The 16,849-nt window shown below is 44.7% G+C and overlaps 1 protein-coding gene and 1 pseudogene across 11 annotated transcripts in view, besides 1 other annotated feature; one reads left to right on the top strand and one right to left on the bottom strand.

Moving 5' to 3' along the window:
- The window catches only part of NAV2 (neuron navigator 2), a 776,366-nt gene that overhangs the window by 717,066 nt on the left and 42,451 nt on the right, over nt 1-16,849 (bottom strand). The gene's annotated exons all lie outside the window — the stretch shown is intronic.
- RNA5SP335 (RNA, 5S ribosomal pseudogene 335) lies at nt 2,555-2,644 on the top strand (annotated as a pseudogene).
- Nucleotides 9,027-9,558: an enhancer, noted in NCBI's record as "OCT4-NANOG hESC enhancer chr11:19416525-19417056 (GRCh37/hg19 assembly coordinates)". NCBI's record gives its function as "activates a minimal SCP1, AML or CMV promoter by ChIP-STARR-seq in naive H9 embryonic stem cells {active_cell/tissue: H9 hESC(naive)}" and the evidence as "EXISTENCE:reporter gene assay evidence [ECO:0000049][PMID:30033119]".

Genomic DNA, 16,849 nt, shown 5'->3' with positions numbered 1-16,849 from the left:
TAAAAGCATCCACAGAAAGCTGAAGGTTGATTTCTCACTATTGGCCTCATAGGCCAATGAATTCTGATCTTTCCCACCCACAACTCAATTCAGGAGGAGATGCTTATTCGCAGTGAGGCACTGCTGAGGTGCTGGAGAGAGGAGAACTCACCAGTAGGCAAGAAGCCTGACGTGCATTCAGCTCTGCTCCCTTGCCAAGTTCAGGCCTTCCTCCTCTCTCATCTGAGTGACCCAGGTGCACCTCACTTGACTCCAGTGAACTCCAAGAAACTCTCAACCTCAAATACAATGTGATCACATCGTTCACAATTAAAATCTTTCCATGATCTCCCCCTCCATGAAGAAAGCCCACTCCCTTGGCAAAGATTATGCCAGGGCCCCGAGCAATTGGGCTCCCAACCTCTCTGTCTCGCACCCTGTACTCAAGGCCTCCACCTTATCTTCACAAGGCCAACAGAATCTGCCCCCACCTTTGCCTGACCTTCTCCCACTGTCCCCTCACTCACTCCTCAGACTCACCTCTTCACCATTTCCCAGTCTGCTACTACCTCGTGGCCTTTGCAGACGACTGTTTCTCTATATGGACCATGGTCCCCGTAAGAGCCACGTACGCAAGGAGTCTTCACTTCCCTTGGGCTCTGCCAAATGTCACTTATCAGAGAGTCCTGATTTTAGATGGCCACCCCATCTAAAATAACACCCCTTCCCCTAACCCCACACTCGATATCCCTTCCTCTGTTTTATTTTTCCCCATAGCACATACTTGTAGCCACCTGGCACCTGACATCCATGCCTGTTTATTTACTGCCTTCCCACACTAGAACAGAGGCTTCATGACACCAAGGACTTTGCCCGTTTTGTTCTCTGCACTATCTCTGTGCACATAACAGTGCCTACCATACACATTGTTGCCTCTCAATGAACATTGATAGAATGAATTAAATGAACAAATGGCATCCCATTCTGTCTGCTGATCCCCACATCGTGTGCCGCTACATGCCTCCCTATCTTTGAACAAGTTGTTCCTTTTACATGGAATGCTCTTCCTCCCATTCCTCTTGCTAGGCTAACCTGCAGCTTTTGTTCAAAGCCCCCTTCTCTGGGAAATTCCACGTGTCTTCCTACCTTGAACCCAGACCTGGCAAGAGTGCCGGTTCTATGCCCCTTGCCATCTCCTGTTATTGCACTAGAGTATCATTGTTGGTATGCTTTGCTATCTCCCCTGGGGCATGCTGACCTCCACTCCAGAAAAGTGTATTGGTTTTCCTATGTATCTGAAGCACCCAGCAAGGGCCTGGCACACGGTAGATACTTCATAAGTGGCTGCTGGTTTAACAAATAAATGATTATTATATTTGACATCTGTTGGGTGCTTCCTATTTGCCTGTCACTGTTCTAAGCACTTGGCAGAGATTAACTCATCACCTTTTAACAACCCATATTTCAGATGTAGAAACAGAATCACAGAGAGGTTAAATAAGTTGCCCCAAATTCACACAACATAAGTGGCTGAGCTGGAGTTTGCGCCCAGCTCTAGAGTCTGGGCTCTTCACCGCCACTCCCGATTGCATTAGTAATGAATGGATGAGGGATGAATGTTGAACCTTAAGTAATATTCTTTTTTCTCCTCCTTTTCCCTCTTATCTCTATGTTCTTTCTGTTATTCTTACTCTCTCCTGCTCCTTACTCATACATTCAGTTCACAAATATTTGTTGAGAACCCACAATGTGCCATGCGCTGTGCTGAGAGACAGAGGTAACTACAGTGAGCAATGCTCACATGGAGACAGATGCTACTTAATCACAAGAGTATACATGGACAGATCATAATAAGGACTATTCATTCCTGCATTCATTCTGTTATCCAATAAATGTCTATTGATTGCCTGCTATGTGCGAGGGGTTGTTCCAGGTACTGGGGATAAAGCAGTATCTATTTACACTCAAATAAATAAAAAATAAGCAAACAAATAAATGAAAAAATTTCAAAAGCTATATAAATTACACTATAAGTGCAATGAAGGGGTAAAAATACAGACTGTGAAGGAAATATACAAAAAGAGCTACAAAAGCATATAGCAGGGGACCTTGCTCTAGACACATAGTGATAGAAACTAATACTTACAAAGTGTTCGCTGTTTCAAAGCACTGAGCTCTGCATGTATCAGCCCATTTATAATCACCACGACTCTATGTAGTGGGTGCTATTGTTATCCTTATTTTACACATGAGGAAATTTAGGCACAGAAACATAAGTAACTTGTTCAAAGTCAAGCCACTAGTAAGTAGCAAACCTAGATTTGAACCAGGTGGTCTTGCTCCAGAGTCCATGCTCCTCAGCACATTGCTAAGAGAACACCTTCTCCTACCATCTAGAGAGGTGGCCTTAGGATGATGTGTCAGGAGCTGTGTGACCCTGGGTGGGCCACTACCCCTTTGGACTTCAGCATTCTTGAGTTAAAAATAAGACTACTGGACTAGATCAGAGTCCAATGTCTTATGTAGGGAATGAGGGACCCTTAGAAATCACATGAAGAAATTTGTGTGCATGCATGTCTACGACCATACCACCCTGAATGCGCCCGATCTCGTCTGATCTCAGAAGCTAAGCAGGGTCGGGCCTGGTTAGTACTTGGATGGGAGAAATTTGTGTGCACGTGAATGTGACATGTTTCTTAAGTGTGGCACTGCAATTTAAATTAAATTTTCAGAGTGGTCTGTGGCCCCAAAGGAGTGCAGGAAATTATTCCTTCTAGAATTTAGTGTTCCATGAAATATACCGAGAAACATATCTTGTGTGCTTTTGTATGGAATATGCCACATGCTCACGCTCAGAAGAATGCAAATGTATACATAGTGCTCCCTGCAGAGTGGGTGAATCCTGAGTCCATCTTAAATAATTTTCCCTGCATCTTCTGGATTACCCTTTCTTCCTTTGATTTGCGATCATTCCTCCTTCAACTGCATCGTTCTGTACATTGAAGATCCAGACATATCCCTGTCTCGCTCTAATGTCTAAGGCCAAATAAAGCTTGGCTGCACAGTTGTGATTTCATAAATGTGCCCAGTAAATCCAACAGTGAAACATTTTATTAGGTGGGAAATGCCAAATGCCATACATAAGTTATTTATTTACCTATCAACACCAATAAGACAATTTCATTTTACAGGGGTACAGTTGGATTCCAAGGCTGGCAATTCGTGGCTGCTGGCGCAGTCAGTGGTATTTGGTTTTGTCTTTATATTTTACATGAATATCCCAAAGAAAAAGAAATTTGGTCATTCAATGCTTTTGTCTTAAGTCACTTAATATTATAAGTATCTTTCAATAATGCATTAACATATAAAATATATTCTTAAAGACAAATAGAAAGAATTAATATTTTATGGGCTACAACCCACAAACGTCTCTAGAAGCACTGAGAGCATTGATTGTTTCCTAAATCCATTAGGCTCTATTTTGATCTCCAATGGCTGGAGACAATCTGCTCTGTGGTAGGAGTTATTCTGGCAGCACAATAATTTAGAGGGAGCCAATGTTTTGACGACCTTCAGCTTTTGACACCAAATGCTAAAAAGCTCCAATAAGAAGACAAGACTCCCGGCTCACCCCTACCAGTTGCCACAATTACATACTAGCTGGTCAGATTAGAACTGCCCTTCTGTGATGAAATCTGAATTAATCAGGCTGGTCCAACTAACCCACCAAAAGGTCAAGTTGGAGCCATTTTCCATCAAGATGATGATAATGATTATAATAGCAGCAGCTATCATTTATGCAATAGATAATGAGCATCCTACATGGCCCTAGGGGTCACTGTTCACATCATGGGCTAGAAGATGACAGTAGTGTCTTGAAGAAGGGTACCTTTTTCTAATTCTAATTCTTACCTTCTAATGACATGCGAGTTAAGAGTCATTATCCCTATTCTACATTTAAGGAAGGAGACTTAGGCAGGTGAATGACCTACTCACCGCCATACAATTAGCCAGAGTTGATGCTAAGACTCAAACTCAGTCCACCTGGCTTCAGTTCCTGTGTTGTTTTCCTAGCACTATGGTGGACAGCACACAAGCTGGCTGCTAAGAGGGACCGATGTGACTCCAGGAGATTGAAGGAAGGTACCAGCTGGAACAGATGGGAAAGCCAGGGTAATGCCTCCTTATCACACGGTTAGGACCTTCGGAATTGGCAAAGCCCACCACCAGAGGTTCTACCTGGAACATAGCAGGGAGATGGAGCCTCACTCCATTGATGAAGATAATGTATCTTCCTCTTCCTTGTGACTCCTTATGTCTCACACCACGTCGGATTTTCCAAAGCTCTTACTGAATTGATCCCTAGCTTATAAGGTTTGTCTCTGCTGTAAGGAAGCATTCAGTCTTTTTCCTGCCTACCCCTTATTCACACTTTCCTACACATTCCCAGTCCCCACAACTCCCCGAAAGACTTACAGCTTCCCAAATGTACTCTGCTCTTTATAGTAACTGCTGTTACCTCTTCATTCTTTCCCATATTCTCATAGTCTCCTCCCACCTGCCTTTAACTGTGAATAACTCCTGCTCAGTCTTTCAGACCTAACTGAAGCGTCATCACTTCCAACAATCTATTCCTGAAGCCCATCTGACCCCAGGCTGGGTAAGGGGCTTCTCTTCCGTACTCCTAGAGCCATCCCATCAGAGAACCCACCAACGATCTGGGTGCCAGAAGGGGCAGCACCCTATATGTGGTAAAGGGCTAGCTAACTTCAGAGTCAGGCAGACCTACCCAGTTTCAATCTCAGCTTCACCACTGGCCCTGGGCATTTTAATCTCTCTAAGCCTCAGTTTTCTCATCATAAATGAAGCTGATCATAGCAATTACAGTTGAGGATCAATGACATAATACACATTAAGTACTTAGCACAGGGTCTGCCATCTTAACCCTGCAGTACTGAGGGCATGAGGGGGCTCTGACCCCCATCTGTCCACTGCTCCCACACTGTAGGCTTGTGGGCTCTGAGGGCAGGATCCTTCTCCAGTTTCTCTGTGTCCCCTGTCCACCTACACTGGGCCTGTACAGAGAAAACTGATCAATAAGGATTTGCTGAGCTGCACAGAATTGCAAAATATGACAGCTAAGGAGTACATCCAATCTCTGACTTGTGGGAGAGAAGGAAGGCGCCTGCATTACTGCCCAGGGAGATTAGCATACTGGTAGTGTCAGAGCTGAAATAAAGAGCTGCTGACTCTCCAGGTTAGAATCTGACTTCTGAAGGTGGCAGGGAGTGCAGCGTGGGTAGAGGGAGTTCTGATTTTTTTCTTGCAAAATTCATCACGGACACTCAGCCTAAGACACAGGGGAACACAGAACTGTGTTTTGACTTCTAATTTATCTTCTTAATATCCACTTTCTCGTGCCGTGGAACAGGGCCAACAAGTCTCAAAGATCACATTTCACCAGAGACCTTGAAAGTGTGATTCAACATCTCTTTTTGCAGTAATAAGATCTTTTAACCGAAAGTGACCATTTTATGAGGCTGATGCATTACAAAAGAGCCAATAGGCAAACTGAAGCTCAGGATTATTAAAGCCCTGGGAAAAATCAATGTGCTCTGAAGCCAGCCTCCAGCTGCGACTTAAGCAACAGTGACCCTGAGTTCAGGAAAAGTGTTTGCTAGGAGCTGAGGCTGCGTCCAAAAATGTTGTGCACCCACTAGCTGTGAGTGTGTCTGTGGGGGGAAGGAGGGGCCCGGATCCCCAGCAGGGCAGGCTGCTGCTTGGGAGCAGGAGATTAACAGAATGCTTTTTAATCCCAAATGATGGGTCAAGTCATAATTAAGGGGCTGAGCAAGAACTGAGAGTCAGAAGGGAAACTGAGCTTCAGGAAATTAGGGAAGGACACCCAGAAGGTTGGAGAATGAAGGCAGGGGTCAGAAGTTCATGAGAGCAGAGGGTGAATGGAACATAGCAGGGGCTTGGCGGACCAACAAGCCAGAGTGTAAGCGGGGCTGATACCACAGGTTCTCTGTGGTGGCTGAAGCATGGTACGTGGGAAAGCCAGCTATGTTTAAAGGGACAGAGACAGGCCAATGCAGGGTGATGTCATGCAGATCTGTGTCCCTGCCCAAATCTCATGTTGAAATGTAATCCCCAGTATTGGAGGTGGGGCCTGGTGGGAGGTGATTGGATCAAGGGGGTTGATTGCTCATGAATGCATTCGCACCATCCTCTCATTGCTCTCCTAGCAATAGTGAGTACGTTCTCCAACATCTGGATGTTTAAAACTGTGTGGCACCTTGCTCTCTCTCTCTTGCTCCTGCTTTCCCCATGTGACATTCAGGCTCCCAATTTGCCTTCCGCCATGATTTTCAGTTTCCAGAGGCCTCCCCAGAAGCAGATGCCAGTTATGCTTTCTACACAGCCTGCAGTATTGAGTCAATTAAACCTCTTTTCTTATAAATTACCCAGTCTCAGGCATTTCTTTATAGCAATGCAAGAATGATCTAATACGCGGGGGAAGCCAGCAGTGCCATTTCCCCAGTCTGTTTCTCCAAAGGCCATCCCTCTTGGCATCAAGGCTTCTGGAATACAGCAATGCCAGCTACTATCCCTATTCCCATCACACAGAGGCACTGCTGCTGCCCTTTCTCCTTTTCTCTTTTCCCCTCCCCTACTGCAGCCCAGCCAGTCTCAGAGCTGTATGGGCTTATGCTTAGCATATATAGTCCAGTCCTCCCGGTTTACAGATGGGAAAACTCAGACCCAGAGGGGAGACGTACCTCACCCAGCCATGTGGCAAGAGAGCAGCTAAGCTGAAGCTTGTCTCCAGGTCTCTTAAGAGCTGATCTTTTCTCTGTGACATATAATTTAGAGGCCATTTTTATTCAAGGTGCAATTTTAACCTATATTTCATTATAAAACCAATACTTGTTTGTTGTGACAAATTCAAATTAAATATACATGCAAAAATAATAATAAAATGTAAAGATGATGTACCTCCTCCCCTACCCAGCTTATCCATAAACACATGTACCAGAGGTAACCACTGTGACAGTTTGATAAGCTACAGGAGGTGTTTACAGCCCCTTTCAGGAGGCAGACACAAGAACAGTATTCCCTACACACACATGCGCGCACACACACACACACACACACACTCCCCAGAGAATCCAATTCTCTACACAGTAGCTCTGCTAAGTGGTCACCCAGTCCTGACTCGTGTCCCTCCAAAACCGAAAGAGATCATTACCTCTGGAAGCATCCTGTCCACTTTTAGATAGTTCTAATGATCAGAGAAACCCTCTTATAATTGAAGGAAAATGCCTACCCATAGCCCTAGTTTAATCCTTTTGACAGCCCTAAACACATCAGTTCCCTCTTTTTATGGGGACCTCTAAGCAGCTAAGAATAGTCCCCATAGCCCTCTGGGTTTTCTCCCGGCCATGCCAACCACCCCTGGTTCTATCAATGATATCTGAAGAACAGACTCAAGACCACGTGTCCCTTACAAGCTTCATCCAGGGCAGAGCCACAGGGAACTGCAAGGGAGAGATACATTCATTACACCCTCACTCCTCAGTGGTCCCCATAAAAAGAGGAAGAGGCTTCCGGTGAATACACATGAGCCTCACTTTAAGGGAATCCACCATATCTAAGTCCAAATGTAGCAGTCATGAAGGATGCCTTGCCTGGTAGCATGTATTTTTGGATTCTTTTGGAAAGTGAAAATTCTACATTACTAGAGATCTCTGTGGGAGTTTAAATAAGCATCAAATTCCACAGTATCCACTGCCACACAAATATCTGGATCCCACTCCAAATACGAACTGGAGGCCCCACGGACCACTCCATCAATGTTCACCAAGTCCTCTTTATCAGTGAACACCTAAGAAGGGATGCACTGGCAGAGAGCAGGGCCCGAGAACCAGCGTACTGTTGAGACCTCCCCACCCAGTGAGGTGCCAGGGGACAGAAAGAGCACATGCTCCTTCTGGAGATGCAACAGACTTCATGGATCTCATAGTGTGGCCGCCATAGGGGAGCCCCAGACAAGAGCAGAAGGACACAGATAGGGCGTTCTAAATAATGTGGTACCTCTTCACAGAAAATGCACACTGTGTAGACACCCTCATGGGTTGTATGTTAGTCACACTTTAAACGCCAACCTAAGGCAGACACCACTGGGCTGAGTCCTGGTCTCACACATCATGTTGGGCCCCTGCTTGGGTTTGAATCCTGCCTCCGTACTTCCTCACCATGCGATCTTGGATAATAGTATAGACAGCTACTGGCTACAAAGTGCTCAAATGCTAGCCAGTGGTAGTACTAGGTGTGCTTACTAAATGCCAGTTGTTCTGCTGATTTAAAGACATCCTCTCTCCTCTGTATTTTCATAGCTGCTGAGACTGGTTATTCACAACAACCATCATCATTTATTAGGGATTTATTGGGACATGCTGAGCAGGGCTCTAGGTACTTCATATGCATTATCCCAGTGAATGCTCACAAAATCCCAGGAGGTAGGCATTATCACCCATTGTAAAGATGAGCAAATTCCCAAGTCCTGCCTGAGGCCAACTCAAAACTCTCCTAGATTATACTCCATAAGGAAGTGCAAGGCTGGGACAGAGACTCAGTTCTGCTACAGGAATAGCATCCTGTCTACTTTTTGATAGCTCTGGTAATCAGAGAGAACCTCTTATAATTGAAGGAACATGTCTACACATAGCCCTAGTAAAGGGGCTCAGCATGTAAAGGGGCAGAGGAGAGGGGGAAAGAGGATCAGAGACCATGAGGAAGGGAGGCGGGAAGAGGCCCAGTGGCAAGGACAGAGGCTGAAATCAATCCCAGAGCCATCAGTGTGCTTGGTTTGCTCCCAAGAGACATCCAGAAACCGGTAGCAAGTTTAGTGGCTCAGCCGCTGTCCACTCCGAGGGCTTCCTCTGTCCTGAGGACAGTAGTGGGAAGGTCTGTCAGCCGCCTGCATGGTTCAGACTCCTGCAAAGATGATGTCTCCTTGGTCAGGACCTGGGCAGATGCACCTGCTTCTGAGCAAAGACAAGCTACAGGTACTGCCCTGTACAATGGTGGCCTCAACCATGTCTGGCCATTCTCCACAGACTAGGCTCTGACTGGGGCAGTTTTGTCAGAAACAAGAGTCCTCTCTACATCCCAAGCACTCTGCACAAAGGAGGCCTTCAAAATGCACACTGAACAAATGTAGGGGCAAAGAGGAACAAGTGCTATCCAAGGTAGCAGATGTGTGGGCCCAATGAGGGGCTTTCTCTCCCTGACAAATATCTGCATGACAATGAACAGGAATGTGAATGCACTAACACGCACAGCATGCGCCCACTCAGGTGTAGCCATGGCCTCACACGTGCACATGGGCACATGCTCACAGGTATGTCCATGGGAACACAGTCTCACTCTTCCTCATTGGTCCCAAAGCACAGCACCAGAAGATTTCAAGATACTGTGTGAACCCAAAGCTGTCCCCACCTGGAAGGTCATTGGCACTGCTAATGTTCCCATTTCACAGACTGAAAAAGGCCTGCCTCTGACAAGCGAGGCTTAGCAGCTCAGTGACTTCCTGCATTTTGGGCTTTACGGGATTATGTACTGGTTAACCACACACACTGCAGGTTACATTCAGCCATTCCTTGGTTGGTTTTCAGATAAGGACATCCTTCCTGAACATGCGCTGCAGCCCTGTGTGGTGTGATGAGGCCTCAATCCCCGCCACATTTGAACCTCTTTCAGGCCCTCATGCCACCACTCCCCACCTCACTGGGGTTTTACCCACACTGTTTCCTCTGCCTGAGATACTCTTCTCTCCTGTTTCACTCATCAACTTCACTCTGCCTGCAGATTTCAGCTCGGGGAAGTTTTATCTCACCTTCTTGCCTGGGACTTTCCTTCCCCACTAGACATGTCATCATATCCCTGTTTGAATGTGCCATGTCTGTGAGGCCCTATCATTACTGCTGTCACTCCCACAAGACTCTAAGCTCTGAGAAGACAAGAGCCATCGCTCCTCACATTGACCATTGTGTGCCAGAGTCTTGGCTCCTTACATTGACCACTATGCGCCCAGAGTCTAGCATGGGTATGCCTGGAATATAGTAAGTGTCCAGAAAATATTGGCTAAAGAAACAAATGAGTGAATGAATGCCCAACAACCCTGGAAACAGTCTCTTTTGGAGTTGTGGTTTTCCTTTTTAAATCAAAGCATTTTTTCCCCATTATAAAAGTACTGTCTATACCTAAAAGAGAAATAGAAAGAAACTGGGAAATACCCTCTTTCCCAGGACCCAAAGTTATCCCTAAACAGTAAAATCATGAGACACCATTGGGCCAAAAGCATCCAGGATGTTAAGGAGACTCAGTGACTTTCCTGGCTATGATGCAATCCATGGGAATGAAACCATGCTGAATGGCTCAGAGTTTAGCTTCCAGAAGAGACCTATGATGTTTCCTTTGACTTCTCACTTCACTGCCTCCCCCAAGTAAAGCAGGTCTTCAACACTGCTGCCTCTGAAAACGTTCCAGGTTTACAGTTTCCAAATGGAAAGAGAAGTTTCTGATACAACAGTCTACATGAGTTTCACACTTTTAGAAGTGAGATTTGACCTAAAAAAAAAAAAAGAAAAAAAAAACCCTTAAGTTATAAAATCTCTTTTTAGAACAGAAGTAATAATATGGAGCCAAAAGGCTCTGCAGCCAGTACATTTCAAATTTAAGGCGAGCAAATTGCTACTAGGAAAGAAAAATAACCAGGCACAGAGGAGAGAGAAAAAAGAAGAAAATCCAAATTAAAAAGCCTAGAGGTATGTCCAATTACATTGTCTTTTTCCTTAGATTTTTGTCTACAAAAGGTACTTTTCATTTCAAGGAGGAAAAATAAATTTTAATTTGACAGCTGATACGATTTCCGTTGCAAAATTAAAACACATTTTGTCAAGGTTTGTTTGTTTCCAAAAACTATATATTTTATTGTCACACATATAATTTCATAGTACAGATATAGCTCATATTTTATAAGCCTTTTACAACAGACAAAGGGATCCGCAGCTTCCCCTCTAAATCAATGGAGCACAGCAAGTAGAATGGGATGGAAGTATTTTAAAGCTACAGATCAGACCAATTTACTTAACAGCTGAAGTAGAGGACAGAAGCTTCCAGAGCAAGCCAGCATATTTTAGAAGCCTCCCAGCAGGCACTGGGCTCAATGGCATATAGGCCTGTCTGGCACCTTTATCAGAGGCCTTCTGGTCAACAGCATGAGAAGAATGAAACTGGTGGTCTTACTGTGTCATTCCCATGGCAGGATGGGCAGTGCAAAGCAAAATATTACAGTCCCCAGGTAATCAACCCATAAGCCCTCTTTCAAAGAGAAAAGAGGGATGGACAGTCTGGGAAAGGGGGAAGTATGACTTTAGGCTGCAGGGGTTAGATCATCCAATTCACAGATCTCTGCCTGTGACCAGTGGCATAGCATATTTCACCAGGGAACAACGCACCAACAATGCTGAGTGACATCAGTACTGTTTGCTAGCCTCTGGAAGACCCATAGGGAGGCCATAAGCAAGTTCAAATCCCTGCTCTGGCACTCACTGGGAATCTGAGCAAGTCACGTATCACCTCAGAGTCTCAGTCACTTCAATTGTAAATAAGAAAGATAACATACTTCCTAAGGCTGCTCTTGTAACTGTGTGCCCAGCACTATGCCTGGATTTACTGCAAGATCACACTTGAACCTCACTACAGCTCTGACCAGGTAGGAACTATGTGGCAGTTTTAAGCATGGCTGCAAATTATTTACCACCCTTCCCATCAAGAGTCTAATATCCCTCCCCGTTATATGGGCCAGCCTTCCAGACTCACTCCCAATGAACAGAATGCTGGAGAAGTGATGCTGAGTGACTTCTGAGGCTAGGTCACAAAAGGCAGTACATTTTCTGCCTGGCTTGCTCGTGCTCTCAGGATGCTCCCTCCTGGATCCAGCAACCACATTGTAAGGAAAGCCAGGCCACACGGACAGGCCACATGTAGCCCAGCTGACTGCCAGCATCAACCACCAAGTATGTTAGTGAGAGAACCTTCAGATGATTCCAGCTTCAAGTCACCTCAGCTGATGCTGAATGGAGCAAAAAGCAGAAAAAAAAAAATCACCCTGCTGAGCCCTGCTCAAATTGTATATTCCTGAACAAAATATATGTAACTGAGTTAAGTCATTGTGTTGGAGTGGTTTGTTATATAGCAATAAATGCCTGAAATAAACTGTTGTTCTATCCATTTTACAGATGAGAAAATCAAGGCTTGGATTGATTAATTCATGCCTCAAATAGTTTGCAATGAGCACAATCAGGACTTGAACGCAGCTGGCAAAGTGTATGCCCATACCCACTATTCCATACTACTTTTCAAGTCTGATTCTCCATCATCAAAGTAAAAGGAGAGTCTGATTAATCCTTGGTTCCTAGAAACCACTAATCCAAACTCTCCATTCTCTAGGCCTTCTAGTCAGGAGTTTAATGTATTCCTTCCTTTACTATGATTTGTAACCATTATTTATTTTTTAGCTTCATTTAAGTATAATTTTCTCAGTGATGGTCACATTAAAATAAACACATATACAGGAGAGCTGGTTAATCCCTGCGAGTTGAGCTGATGGGTGGAGACACAGCAGGGGAACGAATATTAGCATCTTCTATGTGCATGGTACTGTCCTAAGTATTTGTCAGTCAGTATTCTAGACACACTGGAGAAGAACAAACTCAAAAAGAAAAGTCACACTTGAGATTTAACTCCAGTGTTTGTTACAACACACAGTATGAAATCCATCCCCCCCAGTTCCTGCCCCTCCCCCACTGCCCCACACCAGACTAACAGGCATTAAAAGAACTATAACTTTCCTACAGCAGTGCCACTAGCAACACCCAAATTTAAAATCATACCCCACTGTTCCTGCTACTTACAGGGACACATTAACAGTGAACGTCTTGCCCACTTCAACATCCTCCTCCAATGTAAGGGGACATTATTCTCAGTGTCATTGATAAGGTTTAAAATACTTGATCTCCTTTGAAACTGAGAGCATCAGAACTCACTGGGGGTTTAACTCGAGGGTGATGATGAAGTCATATGTAAGGACAATTCTTCTGGAAAAGGTGTGTGGACAGGGTGGTAGAAACCAGGCTGTGGGCTTTGGGAACAGGTGAAACAGCAGCTGGGAAGGAACAGAGGTGAGACACTAACACAGAACTGAATGGAAGCTAAGGGTGAAGCAGGGGGACAGGCCAGAGGCAGGTCAGAGGGGCTCTGACAGGGAAGGGGTGCCCCTTGGAGGTGAGTGGTAGTGAAGGCCAGAGGTGAGGTTTAATCAGAATGAGAGACCGGGGCAGCAGGAGGCAGTGTGAGCAATGATCACTAGAGAACGAAAGCTTTGGGGTACGGTGACTCCCATGAAATGCTGGGCCCCTCATTTACTTGGCCTGGGATACCTATGGGCAAATTATTTATCTTTTCTGCCTCTCAGCTTCTTCATTCTTAAGACAGGAATGAATTAGAGTAGCTCCTACCTCTTGAGTAATTGGAAGGGATAGTGTTATCACTGAGCTCATAGGATCAATTAGATACTGCATTTAAGAACTAGGCACACTGCCTGGCAAGTAGTTATTGAACAATAAATGGCAGCCTTTCCTAACACTGACCAAGCCCACTCCCATCTCAGGGCCTCCTGGTACATTTGGCTTCTTCTTCCCCTGATCTTCCAGCTCTTTCTCAGCATATAGGGTCTGCTTAGAGGTCATGTCCCAAGAGAAGCCTTCCTGACCATTTCCCTCCCCTCCCCTTCACCACTTACCCTACTATACTTTCCTCATAGCAGGCAAACCAGAGGGGTCATCAGTTATGAGACAATCCATCAACCCAATCACTCTATTCCCTGACCATTTGGTTTGATGTTTCATTCCCCCCAACTGAAACTTTATGATTTATTTATTTATCTTACTTGTTTATTGCTTCTGTCCAGGAGTTTTGCCTATATTGTTCACCCTGAATTTCCCTGAATCCCAAGGGCTAGCACATAATAGGAACTCAATGAATGTTTGCAAAAGGACCAGATTCATATTTGTTATTATTTTTCTGGCAGGGAAGCAGGATTAGGCTTTCAGGGCAGATCTGGGAGTCATCCACTGGGATTCAAAAGCTGAGGCAAGGATATGGTGATCTCTGCTTGAAAAGACTTGAGAAACAGAAAACTGTGGGCCCAGGACTATCCATCATGAAAGGCCACAGAGAGGGTATAGAAAACAAGTCCAAGGAGACCAGAACAGAATCATCACAGCATCAGTCCACCAGCACCCACACAGCTGGGCCCAAAATAAAGCAATGACCATGGTGAGGATCCTGGAATGGACACTGCGCCCCAGGAGATTATCATGCAATCAGGCTTCACATGTAAACCATCCACAAATTTATGAGCCTACACAAACAATTCCTTCCTGGAATGTTTGCACAAATGGGGCAGATTACAAAACTCTAGCCAAAGAACAAAAATATCACATGGCTAGGGTCACAGAGCAGCCTGGGCCATGAATAGAGGGCAGAGGGATTCTGCCTCCGAACTGAGGCCACAGTTTTCCTGGTCTGACCAGCTGACAGCTGAGAAGCAATGTAGGAACCTGGCCAGTCCTTCACCATGAAGAGCTTAGCAATGTGGGCTGGGCGAGAGAATTTCAGGGAAGTTCAAGAGGCCTAGGCCAGCCACAGGAACACACATGAGATGTCTGGGAACAGCAAGGTTTAAAATAGTAAAGCACCAAAGACTCACAGTTCCATAAACATTTTAAAAGTACCTACTGTGTGCCATACATACACTGCACCGACCATTCACACAAATTATGGCATGTAACCCTTATGAGGCACAACACAGTGAGGCACAACTCCTTGTGAGTTGTTGTGTGATGACTGTCCTTGATCTTCATGGTCCAGATGAGGATCCTGAGACTCAAAGAAGGAAAAGGATCTGTTCAGCATCACAAATCTGGTGAGTGGGAGAATAAGATTCAAAGCCAGGCATTTTGTGTCCAAATTATGTGCCCTTTCTGATATATTGCAGCAGCCTCTGAAATATAAGACACGTTGGGAAAGAACATCGTGCTTCCAATATGCAACTTAGCATGTGCAGGTAAGTGGTAAATGTATTTATTTGCTTGTCTCCATAAGACTGAAGTCTCTATCTTAAAGGCTTCTACCTCCCTGTGGCCTAGAGCCCTGTCTTGTGCATAGTAGCTATTTATCCAATGTTGGTGAATTGACAACCTGGTGGATTGACTGCTAGCAGACAGGATGGACAGCAAGCCAGTCACTGCTCACCCTCCAGTGGATCACAGAGAGACAAGTTTATGAGTTTTGCTTCCATCAGTGGAGGCATCAGGGAAATGAGTATTGATATGGGGACAGCTGTGAGCTAGATTACAAAGCATAGCCGGAGAGAGGAGGCTGGTAAAAAACCAGAATGTTATGCCAAAAATGAGCTTGGCTCATAGTGAACTATTGAAGACTGAGTAGGGAGATCATTAACTCTGAAGTTAAAAGAGTCTGGATTCAAATTCCGGCATCACAGCTAGTGCTGTGGCCTGGGATAGGTACTTAACCTTTCTGAACCTCAGCCTCCTCATCTGTAAATGGGGAGAACACCACCTGTTTGATGGGATTGTTGTAGGGATTATAGACAATGTATCCAAAGTCCATGGTGCATAGTAGGTGTTCAATAAACTATGGCTATCGTGAATTTTAGGGGTGATACCTACAACAGAATAAGATTTCACAGATATTATCTTGCCCAGCGTACCTACACTGCTAACGTTTATTTCGTAAGTCTCTAGGAAAGCAGCATTCGGGGTCAAGCACCTTCTCCAAACCCACCAAAATCCGCCATCACACCCACTCCCTCTCAGACTTCCTCCCAGCCAAAATCCCCATTCATCTTATAGTTCAATCTTTCTGTGAAGATTACAGTACAGGAAGTTCAGAAAAACAGATTCTCAGATGGAATATGTATTACATGGGTGTTTTTAATTCCTAGCAATTAAAATCTTTAGAATAAGAAAGAGAATCAGCAGGCAAATTTTAAACATCTCCAATGAAGCTCCACTGTGAGGAAGCAGGACTCAAGACATCTGAGATAAAGCTGCTTTTTCTGGGACTGGGAACAGCTGGGACAGTCGGGTTCTTGCAAAGTCTTTTCAGAGATGAGCGATGGGTTTGCAAGGACAGTCATAAATGTCCATTATCCTGAGGAACTCCAATGTGCACTGTATAATCCACGGTTTCACAAAGTATTCTAAAACATACAAAGATTCGCACATTGTTTCTAAAATCCCTTGACCCCGTTCCTTCCATCCCAAAGTCTGACGTTTCTTTCTTGGAGTTTTCAAGGTTTCATCTCCTAGGAAATTAGTTATACTTCTATGATTATCATAGCATGTGCATTCAGATCACCTGAGGATCTTGTTAACATGCACATTCCAATTCTGGAGGTCTTGGGGAAGATCCTGGGACTCTACATTTCTCACAAGCTCACAGGCAATGTCATTGCTGGAGGTTGGCTCACTGAGAGAGGAGATGCATAAGAGAACAAGTGGGTGAATCAGGTCAAAGATTCATAGAAGGGAACCACACATTTGCAAGTTTTTCCTCTCCATTATGCTTTTTTTTCTGTAAATGCTACTTTTAAATTAGGCTGAAAATCAAAGAACTCTATTTAAATCAAATTAGAGCAAAGAGGAAGACTTAAAGAAAACAAATGACTACAGAGTTGTTCCTCTGAACCAGTTTTAACCATCTTCACTGGCATTAA

The sequence above is a fragment of the Homo sapiens genome, chromosome 11 (assembly GCF_000001405.40).
Source record: "Homo sapiens chromosome 11, GRCh38.p14 Primary Assembly".
Classification (NCBI taxonomy): Eukaryota; Metazoa; Chordata; class Mammalia; order Primates; family Hominidae; genus Homo; species Homo sapiens.
This window is presented reverse-complemented; position numbering and strand designations above follow the sequence as displayed.